This window comes from Homo sapiens, chromosome 4 (assembly GCF_000001405.40).
Source record: "Homo sapiens chromosome 4, GRCh38.p14 Primary Assembly".
In the NCBI taxonomy this organism is placed as follows: domain Eukaryota; kingdom Metazoa; phylum Chordata; class Mammalia; order Primates; family Hominidae; genus Homo; species Homo sapiens.
Genome location: NC_000004.12, coordinates 37,330,323 through 37,346,034, shown reverse-complemented (window position 1 = coordinate 37,346,034; position 15,712 = coordinate 37,330,323). Strand labels below are relative to the sequence as shown.

General features: G+C 40.7%; 1 protein-coding gene across 1 annotated transcript in view, besides 1 other annotated feature; it reads right to left on the bottom strand.

The window, feature by feature from the left end:
• The window catches only part of NWD2 (NACHT and WD repeat domain containing 2), a 204,721-nt gene that overhangs the window by 103,429 nt on the left and 85,580 nt on the right, over positions 1–15,712 (bottom strand). The gene's annotated exons all lie outside the window — the stretch shown is intronic.
• Positions 9,827–9,996: an enhancer, noted in NCBI's record as "experimental_79062 CRE fragment used in MPRA reporter constructs". NCBI's record gives its function as "activates a minimal promoter by MPRAs in K562 erythroleukemia cells, with activity observed for the non-introgressed 4:37337746 variant allele {active_cell/tissue: K562}" and the evidence as "EXISTENCE:reporter gene assay evidence [ECO:0000049][PMID:34662402]".

The following is a 15,712-nucleotide window of genomic DNA, read 5'->3' as shown; positions in this document are numbered from 1 at the left end:
TTTCAGCTCACTACAACCTCTGCCTCCCAGGTTCAAGCGATTCTCCCTGCCTCAGCCTCCTGAGTAGCTAGGATTACAGGTGCCCGCCACCATGCCTGGCTAATTTTTGTATTTTTAGTAGAGACGGGATTTTGCCATGTTGGCCATGCTGGTCTCTAACTCCTAACCTCAGGTGATCCACCTGCCTCGGCTTCCCAAAGTGCTCGATTACAGGCATGAGCCACTGCACCAGGCCAGGAGTAAATCTTTGTGAGCTTGGATTCAACAATAGTTTATTGGATATTATGCTAAAAATACAAGCAACCAAAGAAAAAATAAATTGAACCTACTTAAAATTTTTTTAAAATTATGATTTAAATGACAGTACCAAGAAGGTTAAAATAGTAAACACAAAATGCAAGAAAACATTTGCAGATCATATTTGTATGGATTTTTTTGTCTAGAATACATAAAGAACTCCTACAACTCAGTAATAAAAGGACAAATAACTCACTTAAAAATGGGCAAACGATCTGAGTAGACATTTCTTCACAGAATATATACAAATTTCCAACATAAAAAGATGCTTAATATTATTAGTTATCAGTAAGTACAAATCAAAAGTATAATAACACTTCACAAGGTGGCTATAATAAAAAAAGACTGATAATTACAAGTGTTGGCAAGAATGTGGAGACATTGGAACCCTCATACATTGCTGATGGGAATACAAAATGGCTCAGCCACTTTGGAAACAGTCTGGCAGTTTCACAAATGGTTAAACAGAGACTTACCACATGACCTGATAATTCTACTACTAGGTATATACTCAACAGAAATGAAAACATATGTCCACATAAAAACTTGTACACGAGTGTTCATAGCAGCAGTATTCATAACAGCCCAAATACAGAAATATTGCAAATGTCCATCAAGTGATCAACAGATAAATAAATAAGACATAATCCACACAATGGCATACTATTGAGGAATAATAAGTAATGCAATGAAATACATTGCATGTTACCACATGGATGAACCTTGAAAGCATTAAGTAAAAGAATCCAGTCACAAAAGACCACATATTGTATGATTCCATTTACATGAAATGTGCAGAATAGGCAAATCCATAGAGACAAAAAGCAGATTAGCAGTTGCTTAGGGCTAGTGAGGAGGAGAATGGGGTGCTTGGGGAGTCATAGCTAAAGGGCACAGGGTTTCTTCTTGGAGTTATGAAAATGTTCTAAAATTGATTTTCCTAACTATTACACAATTGTGAATGTACTAAAAACCACTGAATCATACACTTCAAGTGGGTGAATTTTACATGTGAATTATATCTCAATAAAGCTATTTAAAAAATAATACCATACACACCTATTTGCATTGCAAATACAAAGAACTAACTACATGTGAACCAAATGATCAGGGTAAAAAATGTCGTAACAGCGCTTTCATTATTTATTTTCCTTTATTTCAAAAGCCAAAGTATCACATCATTTATTCGCCACTGATGGAAGTCTTTTGTAATAGTTTTGCATCTGTTATTTCCTTATAGTTTGGCTACCAGTATTGCCCTCATCCAGGCCTTCATAGCTCCATGTCTTCTTACTTCAGTAACTTTGTTAAAAAATATTCTCCTGCCTCCAGCTTTTCTCCCTTAAATTGTTCTTTCCCATATGTCTTTATGGGAAAAAAATGATGAAAAAGATAAAAATCAAGCAACAGGGAAGACATTGACGAAATAAATAAATGAAACAGCCAACTCACGCAATACAAAACACCATTTTGGGCAGACAGCTATGCCATATATCCGCATGATCAATAACTGGCAAAAAACACTTGGAACATAAAGTGCTCAACAAGACAAGATTTATTACATACTTTAAAAAATTAAGTTTAGCTTTTAGCCTAATGTCCAGGCACTGCAGAGTCTAGAATCTAATTTACTATTTATTGGAATACTAACTTGTTGACAGCACATTTTATTTGTCTTTACTTATTTCATCATTTAAGCATAAAACCTTAGGAAAGTAATTTGATATTACCTTTTTTACTTAAAACCATCTCAGTTGTTTTAAAAACTTCTTAGGGAAGCTAATTTATCATGCTTTTTATAATGTGCTAAATTGGTCTAAAAACAAAAAACCAGCAAATAATGCCCTAACAAATCTTACCCGTTGAAATCAAACACTGTTATTTAAATATCAAGATTACCTAACAATAAAGCAATCTGTAAAAAAACAAATAATCCTAAATTTTTTCTAAAAAGAGAGAGTCAAATTTGAATTCATAATGGCCTCACACTATCATTTCTTCAGATAGGCTTAGATAATAACTTAAATGTCTTCCAAAATATTTTCTTTCCCAATTTTCCCACACCATAGAATAATATCTCAATGCAAAATGGAAAAAACTATAGAGATAATATGACTGAGTTTTGAAAACAAATTCAGCACTGAAATGAAGGCTATTCTTCAAAGGTATTACAATGGAAGGCTACACATTTATTCCAATTATTGTACACAAAATAATCTTGTCGCTTTGTACTTGAATTTTGTTTTGATTAAAAATGGTATTTCTCCAGCCTTACTGGCCTTTACATATATAACACATAGCTTTTAAAAGACCTGTAGCTCTTTCAAGAAAGTAAAATCTTTTCTTATTAATAAAAGGATTAACATCTGCTACCACTAAAAATATTCAAGTGTACAGAGCTGATTCAGAAAGCTTTGAACAGCAAGAAGATTGTTGTACTAAGGACATAGCTTTCTAAGGTCAATACAGTGGTGAAGATAGCACTCATTATAATTTGTTTTAGTATTTATGTCCCATTTCTAGAATGCTTATCTCACAGAAGGTAGTAAGCAGAGAAGTCTTAAAACTCAGATTAGCGTTGTCAGATACTATTTACCAATGGTAAGTTATGGTTTATACATGTGGTATAAGCCATCCTCTGGGTAGAACGACTTGCCCCAGATGCAAATATCTCAAGGAAAATCCCAGGTCCTCATCTTCAATGGCTACATTTTACTAGAACTATTGTGAATACTGAGTTCAGGTCACTTGCAATTATTCTCTTGATTATGAGACATATGACGGATATATAGGAGGGCATGATTAAAACAGGCAACAAACAGGTCCTCAGTTAAGCCCAGAAAGGACTGACTGGCCTGGTGTCATACACGATCACTAGAAAGAAGGAGACCAACAATATGAGGTTGGATGATGCTTCATCGAAAGCCTTCTGTAGACAACTAACTGCCTAGACCTGATGCCCCTGTGTCTTGAAAGATTTAGCCTCTGGACATTCCTAATATAACATGATAGTAAGGAAGAACTGAACCCTTGACCATGAACCAAGGCAGGACCTCTATCTATGAAGGCTTAATGAACATGGAGAAAGAGAGAAGGGACCAGGAGTTTTGAGGGGCAGAGAAGTAGTGGCAAGATGGAAGTTGTTGTGTGTCTGTGATAAGTTGGAAAAATTCACTGCATAAAGGAACTTGAACCAGGCTGCCAGTGGGGACCAGCTTCCTTCAGTGGCAGGACACCTGACCACAAACCATACGCCTTTGTCAGTCTGTTCTGTGTTGCTATAAAGGAATACCTGAGACTGGGAAGTTTATAAAGAAAAGAGGCTTATTTGGCTCATGATTCCACAAGGCTGCATGAGCATAGCGCCAGCATCTGCTTGGCTTCTGGTGGGGCATCAGGAAGCTTTTACTCATGGTGGAAGGCAAGAGGGAGCAAGTGAGTCACATAATGAGAGAGGGAGCAAGAGAGAGAAAGGAGGAGCTGCCAGCCTCTTTAAATAGCCAGATCTCCTGGTAACTGATAGAATGAAAACTCACTCATTACCATGGGGAGGGCATCAATGCCGTTCAAGAAGGATTCGCCTCTGTGACCCAAACACCTCCCACCAGGCCCCATCCCCAGTGTTGAGGATAACATTTCAACATGAGATTTGGAGGGGATAAACATCCAAACCGTATCAGTGCCTGAGTGAAAAACCCAGAGTTGGTTCTATTCCTGTCACTGGGATTTTGGCAATCACTGTATCTGAGTGTCCTCTGAGTAGACATGTACCTGTATTATGACTTCAGCTCCCTAAAGTATCTCCCTGCTTAAATTCTTGCTCCCTCTCACCCATTAGCCACACTGCAGGCAGATGGATCCTTTTAAAAATGCAAATCTGATTACCATAGCTAAGATTTCCTGTTACATAGTCAGAAGCTACATAGAGCCACTTATTTACTTCTTAAACTTATGAAATAGGTAAAACTATTAATAATATTCTGTTTTACGGATGAAAATCTGAGGAACGGAGAAGTTAAGTAACTTGTCCAAAGTCACACAGGAAACAAGTAGTAGAGGTGGAATTTGAACCTGGGCTCTTAATGCTATTTTACACCTTCTCTGCTTAAGCTTCCTGTCATCCCAAAGATAGTGTCTAGAATCCATGACCTGATTTATGAGCTCCTCTGTGATCAGGTCCCCGCCTAACACTTCAATCTCATTTCATGTCATGTTTGCCTTCATTGTTCGTGCTCTGGCTATACATACATGCACTCACACACGTGTACATGTACAACATGTATAATTATATAGCTTATATATTTACACATGCACATATATTTACATCTCTATGCAAATATAGATATAGATTCTTCTCTACTTACAGTGAGGTTATATCCTGATAAACCTGTTGTCAGTTGAAAGTATGATAAGTTGAAAATTCATTTAATACACTTAACCTACTGAACATCATAGCTTAGCCTAGTCTACCTTAAAGGTGCTCAGAACACTTATGTTAGACTACAGCTGGGAAAAAGCATTTAACACAAAGCCAATTTTATAATAAAGTGTTGAGTATCTCATGTAATTCAAAGAATACTGTATTGAAAGTGAAAAACAGAATGGTTGTACAGGTACTTGAAGTGCAGTTTCTACTGAATGTGTATCACTTTGAACCATTACAAAGTCAAGAAATCGTAAGTCAAACCATCGTCTGGTTGAGGACTGTGTGTATAAATTTCCACCAATGTGAGAACAAACGAGGCTGTATGGTATAGCGAGTAGGAGTATGGACATTCAGGCCAAACTACCTTGGTTCAAATTCTGATCCTGCCACTTATTTGCTTCAGGGTCAGAAGCAATTTACTTCCGTATTTCTAAGTTTCCTTACCTAATAAAATGAAGAAGGTAAGATTGATCTCCTAGACTCATGGCAAGGATTGAACAAGTTAATGTATGCACAGCACTTAGAATAAGTGCCTGGCAGGTAGTAATTTCTATATACTGTTAGAATTTTCTCTCAGATTTGCCTGTGAAAGTATGTTCTCTCTGCCTAGAATATTCTTTTAACCTAGCCATCTCCCACTGCCTAACCTTGAGGATTCAGCTTAGACATCAACTCCTCCACAGGCCTTCTTGATGCCTCCAGATGGGCTGAGCTTCTCCCCAACCTTTACACATGCCCAGTGCACCCTGTATTTCCTGGGCTGCAAGCACCACCCTGGTCACTGTTGTTTACAACTGCGAGACTGTAAACTCCATGAGGGCAGGTACTCTGTTTTCAATATTATGGTATCATTGCACTCACAACTCTGCCTGGTACAGAGCAGAGGCTCAATAAATGTCTGAATAATAAATGAGGCTCAGGGGAGAAACTACCTTAATCTGCCCCTGGGGCTCTGGGGTAGATGCCAATGAGGAGGTAACACATGTATCTGGACTTGAAGGACAGGTACACGGGACACTGTCCTTCAGAGAGTTTAGGTGGGCCTGTTGATACACAGAACAGCTCTGCAAAGACAGAAATGTGACATGGTCTGCCCATGTAGAATTGGTAAGGTCACAGTATCATAAATGTGGAGACTTAAAACTTAAAGATCTGGTAGAAGGAATACTTATAGATAAGAAAACTGAGGTATGTTAATTTTTTCAAGGGACTATATCTAATTATTGACAAAGGGGACCTCTTAAATGAGTGCTCTTTTTATTATATGAAGACTTATCAAAAGGTTTCCCTCTCTCCTATAATAAAATATGAGGACGGAAAGAAATTGGCCATTATCTTCAGTGAAAAAAAAAAAAAACAACCAGAAACAGAAATTCAAATACCGCTTGTTCTAACTTACCAGTGGGAACTAAATAATACGTACACGTGGATATGGACTGTGGAATAATAGACACTGGAGACAGAATGGTGGGAGGATGGGAGGGTGAGAGGGAGTGAGAAATGAGAAATTACTTAATGGGTACAATATATACTATTTGGGTGATGGCTATGCTAAAAGCTCAGACTTTTTACAACTATTCAATATATCCATGCACTAAAACCATACTTGTACCCCTATTTATACCAAGAAAGAAAAAGAAATAGCTGCCACGTGCTCAGAATTTGAGAAAGGCCTCATGGTGACTGTACTCAATGGGGACACGTAGTCCCCTGCAAATGGGCAACCCTCTCTTAATTCTGTTTATTGCAAGATCAATCCTCTTGGGTAATTTTCAGTGTTGGTATAATCAGACAGCCACCATGTAGCAGAAATACATGCTCAGCAAAGTTTAGCTGCTCCAGTAAATTCTAGAGCCTCCCACAATGTCACTGCTGTATATTTAGGAGAAGCAATAGGTAGAAGATTGCCTATGAGTACAAAGTAAAGGAAGAACAATAATACTGCCTTGAGAAGTCTGGCATGAGAATTCCAGAAGAGCCATTCCAGGCAGCAGAAATGGTGAGCTGATATTTACAATTAAACTGGAGCAATGAAAGTCAGTCATGACATAATGCTTTCCTTCCCTTTTGCCTCTTTGTCTCCCTTCCCCCTTTTTATAAGCTGCCTCACTCACATGGATGGGAGAAGGATGATGTAACATGCTTATAATACTTCTGGGAATGTCAACTTGGTAAGGTTGGTCCAGGCTTTGATGGACATGACTGAAATGTGAAGAGACCTAAACAGGTTGGAGCACTGGCCCTGTGAAATGATGTGTGACTAAACAAAGAGACATGCATTTCACTATTTCACTGCCAAAAGCAGCATCCATTTGATTAATAGAAAATGGAAAAGGGATGATCAGTTACTTGACAATGTGGAGAAAAGACCAAGGGTAGCACAACAAATCCTGTCAACTATAAAAGCCAGTTACGTATTTTGGTAACTTGTGGAGCAAGATGCATTTTGAGATTCTCAGGCAGGAAGACAGTTAAGAGACAGAGGAGAAAAAAACAAAAACACATGTCCAGAGAAGGAGATTGGGCTCAACAGAATAGTCGAGCTGTGGTGAGAGAAGAAACGGTGGAAGAAAGGTGTTACAACTGACAACAGACTTGCAGTGTGACAGTAAGTGATTGCCCAATTCAGAAATTATTAGTAAGGCCACGCTAATATAAGACCCACAAAATTTAACATACAATTTTGATGTGTTGGTTAAGTTAAAGATTTCTAGTTTCTTTATTTGCCTAAAACTAGTTGGCGATTCGTGCCCAATTCTTCGTCCTCTGGTTAGCAGGATAAAGTGAACTTTTAGTTCTATTCCATTTAAACCAGAGTTCAAACTGTTGTTTTCAAGGAACTTTAGTTTTCAAGGAACTTTATTTTGTGCTCATCTGTTCTTGGATCAAGATGCCGAGCCTCTCAAAAAGACTTGGTTTCCTCATTGCTTTGCTTCTTTTCCCTAAGAAGACATCTGAGCAATTTCATATCCTGAAGGGGAAAAATGGAGCTCTTGGGCCCAGTCCCCAGTGATGCCTAGTGGCAGTCACGGCTGGGTTTGGAGCACTGCCAATTACATGATCACACACAATTTATTTGTAAGGTAAAAATCCTGACTCTGACATTTAAAAAATGTGAAAATCCATGCATCTTAGACTCAATGAAATCTGGTAAATACTGTTCAAGGAATATTGTGTGAACAGCTGTGTACAGTTTGGACCAGAGCACATAAACACCACAGGTAGGGAAAGATCAGAGAAAGATTTCCATAGACATCCAGCTGTTAAGAAACAAAAGCTTGTGCAAAGACAGAGATTTTCAAAATGGAAAGAAAAGGCAAGCTTCGAAGAAACACTGTGGCAGATGAGTCAACCAGAACAGTGGCAGCTTGGATCTAGTTTTAAAGGATGAAAGAATGGACTAAGCCAAGAGTTGAAAGTCTTGAAGACAGGGAAGTAGTAGCACTTGAGAATTCAGAAAGGGAAAAGGAGGATGAGTTCTGTTTTAAACATATTAACATTCAAAAAAAAAAGTCAGAGAATTGTCCTCACACAACTATGGAGGAGAGAGAGCTGGAGATGTTGATGCAAAGATTACTCATGTACAGAAGGCAGCTTAAGGAGAAGGTTATACTCTCATTGGGGGTTTAGGGAAGAAGAAAACCAGGTGGACAGGCATGGGCCTGTGCTGCCCAAGGAGACAAGGAGAGATGGAACCTCAGCAATGAAGAGCTGACAAACCCCAGACCAAAGGGGCTGCAGGAGACACCTCTGCCCAGGATAAGCATGCACCCCTTTGGTGCCTTCAGGTGGCATCCAATTGTTATCCTGAGACAGAAAGTAGTTGCGGGCAAGATCTTCCTGCTAGGGTGAGCTGCGAGTTTCTCTCACTTCCTTACACACCTAGGAAGCTGACACTTGCCTCTTAGAGGGAAGGAAAAGGGCTGGGACCAGCACATGGAGGAGTTCCCACTCTGAGACCATGTTGTCACGCTTAGTTGCAAAGGCGTGTTTGGGCAATTTCTTTTGAAAGCTACACTTTACAAAATGTAACATATGACACCCACTAAGATGAGGACTATTAATTTAAGATTCCGAAATAAAAGGGGTTAGAGTTTCCATCATGTGCCTCTCTTGATTTCAAATTAAGTTTCAAGATTAATACAGCAGGCAAATGCATCACTGACCATACGTTTTAGTCTGTTGCCTCATGTGTAACAGTCACTTAGTCCTGGTTCTACAGCAGTTTTGAAAGTTGCATTAAGTATTTATTTCAGGTTATATACCCCCTATTAACACAATGCCCAAAAGCAGTCAGATAGAAGAAAAAGTTACTCATTTGACAGGTGGACAATTTCTTGTTTTTTTTTTTTTTTTTTTCTTTTTTTGAGATGGAGTTTCACTCTTTTGCCCAGGCTGGAGCGCAGTGGTGCGATCTTGATCTCGGCCCACTGCAACCTCCGCCTTCCAGTTTCAAGCGATTCTCCTGCCTCAGCCTCCCGAGTAGCTGGGATTACAGGCGCCCACCAGCACGCCTGGCTAATTTTTTTATTTTTAGTAGAGACGGGGTTTCACCATGTTGGCCAGGCTGGTCTCGAACTTCTGACCTCGTGATCCACCCGCCTCGGCCTCCCAGAGTGTTAGGATTACAGGCGTGAGCCATGGCGCCCAGCCAAATTTATTTTCTTTATAATCATTTTCTGGATTTTTAATTTTTATATATATTTTTACACATACAAGTGAATTTCCATTCCCACTGGGGCTCCTCTAGTTAAGGCCCCCATGGCTCTCAGCTGGACTTCTGTCACCAGGCAGTCAGGCCATTATCCCATCAGGATGATCCCACCCAGACAGACCCCACTACTATCTAGAGCTTTGCTGTCCAGCCTGGGAGCTACTGGCCACATGCAGCTGGTCAAGCACCTGAAAATTGGCCAGTCCAAATTGCAATGTGCTCTGAGCGTAAAATACACTGAATTTTAGAAACTCAGGATAAAAACAAGAATGTAAAATGCCTCATTAATAATTTTCATATTGACCATGTATTAAAATGATGTTTTAGATATTATCTTAAAATATTAAAATTTTAAAAACCATGTCAGAGAAAGAATAACAAAGAATATCTAAGAAAAACCAGAAAGAATGAAAATATGAAATATTTGGAAATGACCTTCACAAAATATGCTCATTTGAAAAAAGATGACTATACTCTTCTTAAAGCTAAAAAGACTTGAGCATAAGCAGAAAAAAAATAAAAACATTTTTGGCAAACAAATTTTATGCTATTTTATGTTTCCTTTTACTTTTTAGAACATGGCTAGTTGGAAAATCTAATATTACTTATGTGGCTTGCATCTGTGACTCACATTATACTTCTTTACACAGTGATGGTATAGACTCTCAGCTTCTGGGTCTTAGTCATTTAATCAATAAATTGAAATCGATCAACCACCATTTATTATGGATCTAGTATGAGCCACGTACTATATCAAAGCAGTCCCCAAAACTTTTTGGCACCAGGGACCAGTTTTGTGGAAGACAACTTTTCCACAGAGGTAGGGGCATGGTTTGGGGATGAAACTTTCACCTCAGATCATCAGGCATTTGATTCTCATAAGGAGTCCACAACCTAGATCCCTCGCAAGCACAGTTCACGATAGGGTTCATGTTCCTATGAGAATCTAATGCCACCGCTGATCTGACAGAAGGAGCTCAGGCGGTAATGCTGCCTCACTGCTCACCTCCTGCCATGTGGCCCAGCTTCTAGCAGGCCACGGTCCAGGAGTTGGGGACCTCTGCTATAACAGATTCTGGTACTATGAAGATATAAATAATGTGATTGCTAACTTCTAAGAGCTCCCAGTTAGTGGGGGAGGGACATTTAAAAATTAATTAAAACAAATAAGACATGCTAGTAAAGATTAGAAATAAAGTACTCTGGAATCTCATAGAAGGACTTCACTACATTTTAATGAATTAGGAGGAATTTTTCTACTCATTTGCCTGGGAGGCAATTTAAGCCCCCCCCCCCCGCCCACCCCCCAGTCAGAGGGCACAGTGGGTGAGAAAATTCAGGGTGGGAAAGGAAACACATCTGGTGAACCAAATGTAGTTCGCAAAGGCTAGAACAGGCTGCCTGTGGGAAAGAGTCACAGATAAGACCTCGAGAGTAGGCAGGGGTAAAAAAGAACTTGCACATTGTGCCAAGAAGCATAGACTGTATCTTGTGGACAAGGGTCAGATTGGTGTTTAAAAATACCACCGTAGCAACATTGTGGAGGATGAACCAGCTGGGTAAAGTAGATTAAGAGTTTGGTATTAGGGAGGAAAAGGCAGAGATGAAGGAAATGGGAATAGTCAGGGTACCCATGGCAACAGTCAAGGTAACGGTAATACAGATACGAACAAAAGGAACAGATTGGAGAAGTATTTAGGGAGGTAGAGTTGGCAGATCTTTGGGATTTAATGGATGTCAGAGGTAAAGAAAAAGGAGGTTTATGAACTTTGTGACTAAGACCAATGTAAATACCAGGTGCCCACTAATGAAGTTGGCTATGAGAAGGTATTCTTAAAGAGTGATGTAAAGCTCAGGGGCTGGACTCGGATGGAGATTTCTTTTGAAATGGAAGTGTCCTAAGTATTGAGATTAGCTAAACACCCCCTTTAGAGGTCCCTGTCCTAACTGGATTCAATCTTGGCTCAGTGTACCAGCGGCCCATGTGGGACAGATTTATGAGTTCAGAGAGTAGAGGGGGAGATTATTTAGAAATCGGAAAAGATGTCTTGGGAAAGCTAGGCCTTCAGCTAGATTGTGAAGGACAGGGTGTGGGGTGGCTAGGGGTGAAGAAAGGGTATGTCTGATAGGAAGCAAGCATTGAAATAGATATAGTGACTAGAATGTGAGAGTTAGGAATGAGCAATCAGGAAGATGTGCTCCAAGCACAGGCTGAGGATGGACTGGCATGGATTATTTACGTGGGGAAGAGTTGAAAACGAAGCTGGAACTACATTAAAGAGAGATCCTATTGGCAGCAGAAAGCCATTAAAAACTTTTAAGCAAAGAAACTGATAATATGGCATTTATTGAATGTCTTGAGGTGGTCTTATTTGGGTTAAATCTGTTTGGTGTTCTATAATCTTGTACTTGAATACTGATCTTTCTATAGGTTTGGGAAGTTCTGTTATTATCCCTTTGAATACACTTTCTAGCCCACTCTATCTCCTCTTTAATGCCAACAATTCTTAAAGTGGCCCTTTTGAGGCTATTTTCTAGCTCTCGTAGGCATGCTTCATTCTTTATTCTTTTTTCTCCTCTGTGTATTTTCAAATAGCCTGTCTTCAAGTTCACTAATTCTTTCTTCTGCTTGATCAATTCTGCTGGTAAGAGACTCTGATACATTCCTCAGTATGTCAACTGCACTTTTCAACTCCAGAATTTCTGCTTTTTTCAAATTATACCAATTTATTTGTTAAGTTTATCTGATAGGATCCCATATTCCTTCTCTGTGTTATCTTGAACTTCTTTGAGTTTCCCCAAAATGGCTATTTTTAATTCACTGTTTGAAAGTTCACAATATCCCTGTCAGGATTGGTCCTTGGTGCCTTCCTGAACTCATTTGGGGAGATCATGTTTTCCTGGATGGTCTTGATATTTGTTGGTGTCTGGGTATTTAAGAGTTAGGTATTTATCGTAGTCTTCACAGTCTGAGCTTGTTAGTACCTGTCATTCTTGGGAAGGTTTTTTCAGGTATTCAAAGGGACTTGGGTTTGTGATCTAGGTTTTTGGTCACTGTAGCTGTAACTGTATTAGGGAATACTCCAAGCCCAGTAACACGTGGCTCTTCTGCCTTGGTGGTCTTGGATAAGATCTAGAAGAATTCTCTGGATTACCAGGCAGAGATCTTGTTATCTTCCCTTACTTTCTCTCAAACAGAGTCCCTCTCTCTGTGCTGAGCTTCCTGGAGCTGGGGGAGGGGTGACACAAGCATCCTTATGACCACCACTGGGACTATGCTAGGTTAGACAGGAAGCCATCACAGCAGTGAGTCCCATCAAGGCCCTTGATAACCACTGCCTAGCTACTGCCTACGTTCACTCAAGGACCAAGGGCTTTACAGTCAGCAGGTGGTGATGCCAGCCAGGTTTGTGTCCTTCCCTTTAGGGCAGCAAGTTGTCCTCAGCCCTGGCAGGTTCAGAGACGCCCTTCATGAGCCAGGGCCTGGAGTTGGAAACCTCAGAATTCTACCTGATCTTCTATTCTACTGTGGCTGAGCTGATCCCTAAGCCACATGACAAAGTCCTTCCCACTCTTCCCTCCCTTTTTCACGAGCAGAGGAATCTTTTCCCATGGCCACCACTACCCCAAGCTCACAGCAAGTACTGCCTGGCTACTGCCAACATTCACTTGAGGTCCAAGGGCTCCTCGGTCAGCTTGTAGTGAATGCTGCCAGGTCTGAGACTCTCCCTTCAGGGCAATGGGCTCCCTGCTATCCCAGGGCAGGTCCAGAAATACCATCTGAGAGCCAAGGCCTGGAACTGGGAACCCCAAGAGCCCGCTTGGTGCTCTACCCTACTGTGGCCGAGCTGGTACCTAAACTGCCAGATAAATTTCCCTTTATTCTTCCCTCTCCTTTTCTAAAGCAGGAATCTCTCCCTATAGCCACCACAGCTGGGAATGTGCTGGGTCATGCCCATAACCAGCACTTCTCTGAATGTCACCCAAGGCCCATGGCGAGTAATGCCTGGGTATTACTGCTGATTATTCAGAGCCCAGGATTGGTCCTTGGTGCCTTACTGAACTCATTTGGGGAGATCATGGCTCTTTAGTCAGCAAGTGATGAGTCCTGCTAGGACTGGGTCCTTTTTTTTTTTTTTTTCAAGGCAGCAGGTTACCTTCTGGCCTAAGATATGTATAAAAATGTCATCTGGGAGCTAGGGCCTGGAATGGGGAACTCAGGACTCTGCCCAGTGCATTATCCTACTGTGGCTGAGCTGGTGTCCAAGTTGCCAAAGTCCTCTCTACTCTGTCCTTTCCATCACTCAAGTGGAAGGAAGGAGTGTCTCTCCCAGAGCCGTGAGCTGCACTGCCTGGGGTTGGGGGAGGGGTAGTGCAAGCACTCCCTTGGCCATCCCAGCTGGTATCTTGCTAGTTCACATGCACCCCAAGTCCACTGGTGCCAAGCCCAGCCCAGCACCAGGACTTGCCTAGTAGTTGGAATCCTCGTGGCCTAGACTGCCTTTCAAGTTCATTCAGAACTCAAGAACACTTTAGCCCATGGTGGCACGGCTTGCTGAAACTCAGTTTCTGATCACTGGAAGGGGCGATTCCCTTCTGACTAGGCCTGGTCTAAATGGGCCTCAGTGGGCACTGGCTCATTTCTGCCCAATGTTGCTTTCTGCTGTGACAGGGGCAGTAAATTCTAATGCAAACTCCCACAATCACTGTACTCTCCCTTCACCAAGCACACAGATTCTTTCTCTGCACCATGTGGCTGCTGCTGGGAGTTGGGGGAGGGATGGCACTGGAAATTCAAGACTGTCTTTCCTACCCTCTTCAGTGCCTTTTCCAGTGACATGAAGTTAAAACCAGGTACTGGGATCACTCACCTGATTTTTGGTTCTCATGCTATTTTGTGTGGATAATTGTTTAGTTTGGTGTTCCTTCAGGAGGACAATCAGTGGAAGCTTCTATTTGGTCATCTTGCTCTATGTCCCCTCATTGACACAATATGACATTTACACAGGATGATTCTGGTGGTATTGTACAGAAATACTCAAGTAGGGTGATGATTCTGGTGGTATTGTATAGAAATACTCAAGTAGGGTGATGATTCTGGTGGTATTGTATAGAAATACTCAAGTAGGGTGATGATTCTGGTGGTATTGTACAGAAATACTCAAGTAGGGTGATGATTCTGGTGGTATTGTACAGAAATACTCAAGTAGGGTGATGATTCTGGTGGTATTGTATAGAAATACTCAAGTAGGGTGATGATTCTGGTGGTATTGTACAGAAATACTCAAGTAGGGTGATGATTCTGGTGGTATTGTATAGAAATACTCAAGTAGGGTGATGATTCCGGTGGTATTGTATAGAAATACTCAAGTAGGGTGATGATTCTGGTGGTATTGTACAGAAATACTCAAGTAGGGTGATGATTCTGGTGGTATTGTACAGAAATACTCAAGTAGGGTGATGATTCTGGTGGTATTGTATAGAAATACTCAAGTAGGGTGATGATTCTGGTGGTATTGTACAGAAATACTCAAGTAGGGTGATGATTCTGGTGGTATTGTACAGAAATACTCAAGTAGGGTGATGATTCTGGTGGTATTGTATAGAAATACTCAAGTAGGGTGATGATTCTGGTGGTATTGTACAGAAATACTCAAGTAGGGTGATGATTCTGGTGGTATTGTATAGAAATACTCAAGTAGGGTGATGATTCTGGTGGTATTGTATAGAAATACTCAAGTAGGGTGATGATTCTGGTGGTATTGTACAGAAATACTCAAGTAGGGTGATGATTCTGGTGGTATTGTACAGAAATACTCAAGTAGGGTGATGGTGTAAGGCAGTTCTGCTGAACACACTTACTAAAACCCCACTAAATGCCAAGCTCTGTTCCAGGCCTGGGGACTTAAAAACAAACAAGAACCAGTCTCTTCCTCAAGGACTTGCAATCTACTAGGGGTAAGCGGGAAAATAAATCAATTAGGATGCTTTTGTTCATCCCATTTTTGAAGCAATGAGGGTTAGACCAGGACCTCGGCAATGGGGATGGAGAAGAGTTCCAAAAGCAAGAGTGGATGGTATCTCTGGGTATAATCACAAGCTCTTTATTTATTTTATCTGTTTTGCACCACCGGCTTTCTCCCCAGTCTGTCTTTACTTTTTTCCAATTGATTCTCCTTGTTCTTATTTTCTATCCCCTTCTCTGTAGCTGGAGGCCCTTAGTAAATACCTGCAAATCAAATAACATATTATTTAAATACCATGTCTTTTCCTGA